This window comes from Homo sapiens, chromosome 2, assembly GCF_000001405.40.
Source record: "Homo sapiens chromosome 2, GRCh38.p14 Primary Assembly".
Classification (NCBI taxonomy): domain Eukaryota; kingdom Metazoa; phylum Chordata; class Mammalia; order Primates; family Hominidae; genus Homo; species Homo sapiens.
The window spans coordinates 112,673,641-112,681,706 of NC_000002.12; the positions used below are offsets into that span (position 1 = coordinate 112,673,641).

Below are 8,066 nucleotides of genomic sequence, written 5' to 3' on the forward strand. Positions count from 1 at the left end.
AATCCCACTCCTGATTCCAATTTCTGCATCAGGATCCAGTCAGGAGACAGAAATCTGAGTTATTTTAACAGAGCCTTTAATGAGAGTTGTTAGCTAGGTGTAAAGTGTTAACCAGGTAACTGAAGTGGCAAGAAACAAACATTAAGGTGTTATGGAGGTAGCAATCACTGAGGCTATAAGAGCTGAGGAAGCGTCACTCCCTGGCTGGAGCTGCTGTGTTGGCTTGGAAGGGTCCTGTGGGCCTGGGCCCTGGCTGCTGAGGAGGGCAGGCAGGCAGCTGGTGACTTGAAAAGGTGCATGAAGGGGTTGGTTTGGTGAGAGCTGAAGAACCACACACAGCACCCAACTGCTATGTCAGAAAGAACTGCTGGCCGGGCGTGCTGGCTCACGCCTGTAATCCCAGCACTTTGAGAGGCTGAGGTAGGAGGATCGCTTGAGGTCAGGAGTTCGAGACCAGCCTGGTCAACATGGTGAAACTACTAAAAATACAAAATTAGCCGGGCATGGTGGCGGGTGTCTGTAATCCCAGCTACTCAGGAGGCTGAGGCAGGAGAATCGTTTGAACTCAGGAGGCTGAGGTTACAGTGAGCCGAGATTGTGCCACTGCACTCCAACCTGGGCGACAGAGCAAGTCTCCATCTCAAACAAAAAAAAAAAAAAAAAAAAAAGGAAGGAACTGCTGCTATCAGAGTGAAGAAATGTGAGGTCACCCTTTGCGGGAACAGGAGGCGAGCCGGAGGAAGTTCCTTTTCCTCTCTCCAGCCTCGCCGTCTCAGCAGAGCGAAACAGGGGAGCCCCTGGCAAGCAAATGTTGGAAGGTTCCCAGCCCAGCGTCACAGCAGAGCAGAGAGGGTAGGGTTTGGAGCTGAGATATGATTGCTTCACAGCCCACAAAGGCGGTGTCTGCCAGGTTTCTCCATTGTGGAAGTGTCTTTTCCCCTTGGAATGAATGCATTCTCTGGGGGTCGGGGGTGGCGATGCTTTGAGATTGTGTGAATGTCACATGCTGCCACAGTCTTTCTGCCAATGGCCTTAGTATCTACTAATGAATCTCACCTGAATCAGTTATTATGAAGGTGGTTGTAAAATTATTTTCTATTTCTCTCATTCCTTGTACATCCGTTAGTTGGCATTCTTTGGTAAAGAAGAGCTTTCCCTTCTCCCTGGCCCCCATCCCTGGGAAATGTGGTTTTTAAGTGGATGGGCCACATACCCAGCCAAAGTTGGAGTTCTATCTATAAGGACTTGGGGGAGAGCAAGTACTGGTGTCCATGGCTAGCACTCTGTCACAGGGCTAAGCCCAGAGAGTCTTACTACTGCAGTTGAATCCACGATTGACTTGAATTGTAAAAACTTAAAGTAAAAAGAAGGAATTAGTGCTTCACACATGGAAGGATGGGAAAAGATAACCTGAATTCACAGGTGGTGTCTGGTGTTTCAGGACTGTCATTGTCCTGGGGGATTAACTGGGCCAGTGGTTCTCAACCTTGGCTGCTGACATAGTTTGGATGTTTGTCTCCTCCAAATCTCATGTGGAAAAGTGATCCCCAAGGTTTGAGGTGGGGCCTAGTGGGAGGTGTTTGGGTCATGGGGTCAGATCCCTTGTGAATGGGTGACCTGCCCTTGGTAATGAGTTAGTTCTTGTTCTATTAGTTCATCAACAGTTGGTTGTTAAAAAGGATATGGGGGCTGGGCGTGGTGGCTCATGCCTGTAATCCCAGCACTTTGGGAGGCCGAAGCAGGCAGATTACCTGAGGTCAGGAGTTTGAGACCATCCTGGCCAACATGATGAAACCCCGTCTCTACTAAAAATACAAAAATTAGCCAGGCGTCATGGCCTGTGCCTGTAATCCCAGCTACTTGGGAGGCTGAGGCAGGAGAATTGTTTGAACTCAGGAGGTGGAGGTTGCAGTGAGCCGAGACTGCGCCACTGCACTCTAGCTTGGGTGACAGAGTGAGACTCCATCTTAAAAAAAAAAAAAAAAAAAAAAGCCAGGCTCGTTGACTGACACCTGTAATCCCAGCACTTTGGGAGGCTGAGGCAGGTGGATTGTCTGAGGTCGGGAGTTAGAGACCAGCCTGATCAACATGGAGAAACCCCATCTCTATTAAAAATACAAAATTAGCCAGGTATGGTGGCTCGTGCCTTTAATCCCAGCTACTCGGGAGGCTGAGGCAGGAGAATCGCTTGAACCCAGGAGGCAGAGGTTGTGGTGAGCCGAGATCGCACCATTCCACTCCAGCCTGGGCAACAAGAGGGAAACTCTATCTCAAAAAAAAAAAAAAAAAAAAAAAGAGAATATGGGGGCTTGGCGTGGTGGCTCATGCCTGCAATTTCAGCCCTTTAAGAGGCTGAGGCGGGAGGATCGCTTGAGCCCAGGAGTTTGAGACCAGCCTGGGCAATATAATGAGACCTAATCTCTAAAAAAATTAAACAAAAAAGGATCTGGGACCCCCTGCTCTCTCTCTTGCTCCCTTTCTCATTGTGTGACATGTCTGTTCCCCTTTTGCCTTCTTCTATGAGTGAAAGCTTCCTGTAGCCTCACTAGAAGCCGAACAGATGCTGGTGCCACGTTTGTACAGCCTGCAGAACTGTGAGCCAAATAAACCTCTCTTCTTTATAAATTACCCAGCCTCAGGTATTCCTTTATAGCAATGCAAAATGGACTAACACAGCTGTGCATTAGACTTACCTGCGGAGCTTAGGCCTGGGTCCCATCCAAGGGCATTGTGATTTGATTGATATAGTTGTAGACTGAACATCGAGATTTTCAAAAGCTCTCTTGGGCATTCCAATATGCTTGCAGAGTTGAGAAGCTTGAAACAGGCAGCCTAAATTGGCCACACAGGGTAAATTAGTGCTCCTTGTTTCAATCCGTTGGATAGAAATGAAAGGACTGAACCAGGAAGATTGGCATGTCTTGCTTTCAAATCAGCACTTTCAAAAATCTGTCCATCGTTAGTGTTTGACCACATGGCATATTTATACATTAGATTGCTCACCTTCAAAAAAAAAAGTGACTGTTCTCAAAATCCAATTTAACTCAGCTGGTCCGATCCAGGTAACCAGATTTAGAGTGCTTTTCATGACTTCAGTCACAAGCTCATTTGAGCTGTTGTAAAAATGGAAACGACTTTTTCTATCTTAAGGATGGAGTGAAGGAGAGGATTCTGAAGCTGCAGAAGTGACAAGGGGTGGTCTCAGTAGAAATGACAGCAGTTGCTACTGTGCCTTGAACCTTGGCCACAGTCCCAGCATTGTGCCACATGCTTAATATAAAGTAGGTCCTTAAAACTTTTAAAAGTTGTGAAATATTCCAGACATAGAAAAGGCATAAAGAATAATGGCCAGGTGTGGTGGCTCATGCCTGTAATTCTAGCACTTTGAGAGGCCAAGGCGGGCGGAGCACCTGAGGTCAGGGTTTCCAGACCAGCCTGGCTAACATGGTGAAAACCCATCTCTACTAAAAAATACAAAAATTAGCTGGGCATGGTGGCGGGCGCCTGTAATCCCAGCTACTGTGGAGGCTGAGGCGGAAGAATTGCTTGAACCCAGGAGGCGGAGGTTGCAGTGAGCCGAGATCATGCCACTGCACTCCAGCCTGGGTGGCAAAGCAAAACTCCATCTCAGAAAAAAAAAAAAAAAGAAAGAATAAAATAATGAACACTTTGGTTCCCACCATACAGCTTAAGATTCCAGAGCTAGGCCGGGTGCGGTGGCTCACGTCTGTACTCCCAGCACTTTGGGAGGCCGAGGTGGATGGATCATTTGAGGTTAGGAGTTCAAGACCAGCCTGACCAACAGGGTGAAACGCTGTCTCTACTAGAAATACAAAAAAAATGAGCCAGGCGTAGTGGCGCATGCCTGTAATCCCAGATACTCAGGAGGCTGAGGCACGAGAATCGCTTGAACCCGGGAAGCGGAGGTTGCGGTGAGCCGGCATCAGGCCATTGCACTCCAACCTGGGCAACAAGAGCGAAATTCCATCTCAAAAAAAAAAAAAAAAAAATTCCAGGGCTTAGATTGGTTTTGACTGAATTTGGTGTTTATTATTTCTTTTTACTTTTATCACACACATATATATATAGCTAAATATATAAGATAAATATGTATATTATGTATAGTTATATATAAAATATATATTGGTTATATCCATATAACTAAATAAAATATCACACTCTTTTGCATGTTTTAAGCCACGTGTAAATGATCTCACACTATATGTATTGTTGTACAATTTACTTGTTTTTGCTTAGCATTGTAGTGAGATTCTTTTAATTTCAATTAAAGAGTACTTTCCTTACCATTCTTATATGGGGTTCCTTGGACACCTGTTTCAGAGTTTCTCTAAAATCTAAATCTAGGAGTAGAATTGTTGTATTATATTGTAATATAATACAGTAAGGCTGGGCACGGTGGCTCATGCCTGTAATCCCAGCACTTTGGGAGGCCGAGGCAGGCGGATCACTTCAGCTTACAAGTTCAAGACCAGTCTGAGCAACATGGCAAAACCCTATCTCTACAAAAAATGCATAAAATTAGCCAGGTGTGGTGGTGCATGCCTGTAGTCCCAGCTATTTGGGAGGCTGAGGTGGGAGGATGGCTTCAGCCTGGGTGGCAGAGGTTGCAGTGAGCCGAGACGGCACCACTGCACTCCAGCTTGGATGATAGAGCCAGACCCTGTTTCAAAAAACAAACAAACAAAAAAACCATCAAAACCTAGTATATATTATATGCGTATATAGTATATACTGTACTATAGTATATGTTCATTTATAATCTTATCAGATATTGCCAAATAGGTCAGAAAATTGAACCAGTTTAAACTCTCATTAGCAGTGTGTAAGAGTTTCAGTTCTATGCCTTTACCAACACTTGGTATTGTCAGACTTAAACATTTTTGCCAAATACATTATTTCTAAATTCTCCCAACAATCCTATGATACCTCATAGGATATAAGTTTTATTTCAGGCAAAGAAACTATGTGTCAGATATTAAGCAACTTTTCCAGGGACACAGCAAATAATTAAAAGAGTTGGTTCTAACCCATGTCTGCCAGATTCCAAAGCTCTTGAGCTGCATGAAGTCACTGGAACACAGTAGAGCTTCTGAACCTGTAGCTGGAGATGAGTATCACCAGGTATGAGAGAAGGGTCAAGGACCAGGAGTTAGGAAGGAGTAATAGGAATGGGGGAGAAAGCACATAAAGAAGTATGTAAGGCAAGAAATGCTGGCAATGGCCTGTCTGTGGCACCAGCAGGCAAGGCTGGCACAAGAAAAGGATAACTGACCGGGCACAGTGGCTCACGCCTGTAATCCCAGCACTTTGGGAGGCTGATTCGGGTGGATCGCTTGAGGTCAGGAGTTCGAGAACAGCCTGGCCAATATGGTGAAACCCCGTCTCTAATAAAAATACAAAAATTCACTGGGTGTGGTGGCAGGTGCCTGTAATCCCAGCTACTTGGGAGGCTGAACCCAAGAGGCGGAGGTAGCAGTGAGCCGAGATCACGCCATTGCTCTCCAACTTGGGTGACAGAGCCAGACTCTGTCTCAAAAAAAGAAAAAAAAAAAAGGAAAGGAAAGAAAAGAATAACTATGACAATTAAAAAAAATTTTTTTAAAGAGATGAGGTCTCACTGTGTTGTCCAGGCTGGAGTGCAGTAGTGCCATCACAGCTTACTGCAGACTCCAACTCCTGGGCTCAAGCGATCCTCCCATTTCAGCCTCCCAAGTAGCTGAGGCTACAGGTGTGCCACGGTGCCTGGCTAACTGTGACAATTTAAGAATGGCCAGTTTCTTTGACACTCTTCCCATAGAGGTGGGATCTATGTCCCCGCTCCTTAAAACTGGATGGGCTCTAACTGCTGTGAGTCATAGAATTTGGTAGAAGCGACTGCCAGTTTCCAGGTTCAGGTCTTAGGAGTCTGGCAGCTTCCACTTCCTGTGTCTTGGAACACTTGCCCTGGGGAAAAGTAGCTTCCATAAAAGAAGCCTGACTACCCTGAGACTGCTGTGTTGTGAGGTAGTCCAAGCAGATTCATGGAGAGGAATCAAGATCTCTTTCCCCTTCTCTCTCCAGCCAACATCCTTGGCAGAGCTGTGAGCCAACAGCCAGCCCCAGCCTGCCAGCCGTGTGAGCAAGCAGTCTTGGAAGGTGATTCTACAGCCCCAGCTGAAACACTCCAACTGATGCCATGTGAGCCGAGAAGAGCAGCCAAACTGAGCCCTTCTCAAATCCCTGATCCTCCAAATGTAGGCAAAATAAATTGCTGGTTTTAAGCCACTAAGTTTTGATATAGATTGTTATGTAATAATAGATATCAGAGCTCTAGCTAAGGCAGGTGCTGAAGGGAAGATGTTTTTATCATTCATAGATATCACAAAATATGTATATTTAATGCATTTCAAAATTTTAGTTCTAACCAATACAATTCTTTGGAGTTTACTTTTCCCGTTATAGAAATGGTACATTATAAATCACCTACCTGCGAGTCTCAATCTACTCTTGTTATTTTTCTATGTTCCGTTCTAGTATTTGCTTTAAGTGCATATTTAATTTGTAATTAAATATGTAATTATGAAATAGATATAATTTAGATTTCTCGTGTCATGTCATTTTTAGATGGGATTGGCCAATGGAAATCAGACAGTAATTACAGTGGTATGAAATTAGTCATAGCTTGCCTTAATTAATTTTTTGTTTATTTTTTTTTTTGAGGCAGAGTTTCGCTCTTGTCACCTGGGCTGTAGTGCAGTGGCATGATCTTGGCTCACTGCAACCTCCGCCTCCCAGGTTCAAGCAGTTCTCCTGCCTCAGACTCCCGAGTAGCTGTGATTACAGGAGTGTACCACCAAGCCTGGCTACTTTTTGCATTTTTAGTAGAGATAGGGTTTCACCATGTTGGCCAGGCTGGTCTCAAACTCCTGACCTCAGGTGATCCCCCTCCTCAGCCTCCCAAAGTGCTGGGATTACAGGCATGAGCCACCTCACCTGGCCTGCTTTAATTTAACACTCATTTGCTTTCACTTATTTACTCTTTGCAATAACTCAATCTGGAAGTTTGATCTTACAGATGAGAGGACTAAGGCATTGTAGAGGTAAAGAAGGCAATCCAAGGTCACACGGCCAGAACATTAGGGAATGTACCAGTGCAGTGGTGGGGAAAGTGAAAGCAAAGCGGAGACAGTTTACCAGGTGCCCACACACAGAGAAAACTTCCAACCAGTAAGGTGGGAGCATTTCCAAATCTAAGACAAATGAGACTACTAGATGCCAATTGGATTGCTCCTCCTAAGGAGAATCTGAGTGCATGGAAAATTATTTACGGACCATTGAAACCATTTTGGTGTGTGCTTTGGCAATAGCTCCTCCTGAAAAGCATGCAGCCGGCAGAAGATCTGGATACCACAGAGACTGAGATTCTACATGTGTTCAGAGACCGGAGTCCCTACCACAGAACCTGTGACCTGTGCTTCTAGGGTCTTCAAAGTCAATAAAAATCAGCAGGTGATTGAAGGAGAAGGAAAATAAAGCACAAGGGAGGTGATTTGGGGCTTTGTAGAAATGCCTCTGTTACCCATTTCTGGGGTTTTATTGCTGGAGCCTTGTACTCTTGGTGAGATCTCCTAAGGTGAAGTGTTGGATTTAAAACAGTCTGATAGGCCAGGCGCGGCGGCTCACACCTGTAATCCCAGCACTTTGGGAGGCCAAGGTGGGCGGCTCACTTGAAGTCAGAAGTTTGAGACCAGGCCAACATGGTAAAACCCCGTCTCCACTGAAAATAGAACAATTAGCTGGGCATGGTGGTGGGAGCTTGTAATCCCAGCTACTCGGGAGGCTAGGCAGGAGAATTGCTTGAACCCGGGAGGCAGAGGTTGCAGTGAGCCGAGACTGCACCACTGCACTCCAGCCTGAGCAAAACTCTGTCTCAAAAAATAAAATAAAATAAATAAACAAATAAATAAAACAGTCTGATAGGCCAGCCTGGTGGCACAGGCCTATAGTCCCAGTTACTTGGGAAGTGAGGAGGGAGGACTACTTGAGCCCAGGAGTTTGAGGCCGCA

At 45.4% G+C, this 8,066-nt stretch overlaps 1 long non-coding RNA gene across 4 annotated transcripts; it reads left to right on the top strand.

The window, feature by feature from the left end:
* Nucleotides 1–658: 658 nt before the first annotated feature.
* LOC102724955 (uncharacterized) lies at nucleotides 659–7,496 on the top strand. 4 transcript variants are annotated; one of them, XR_001739643.2, is made up of 4 exons: nucleotides 659–852; nucleotides 5,062–5,142; nucleotides 6,082–6,254; nucleotides 7,368–7,496. It is a non-coding gene; the product is annotated as an uncharacterized LOC102724955 (long non-coding RNA). The 4 variants fall into 4 exon arrangements; XR_923207.3 differs by lacking the exon at nucleotides 7,368–7,496 and having other exon boundaries at nucleotides 6,082–6,285; XR_427158.4 differs by lacking the exons at nucleotides 659–852; nucleotides 7,368–7,496 and adding an exon at nucleotides 2,421–2,594 and having other exon boundaries at nucleotides 6,082–6,285.
* Nucleotides 7,497–8,066: the final 570 nt, after the last annotated feature.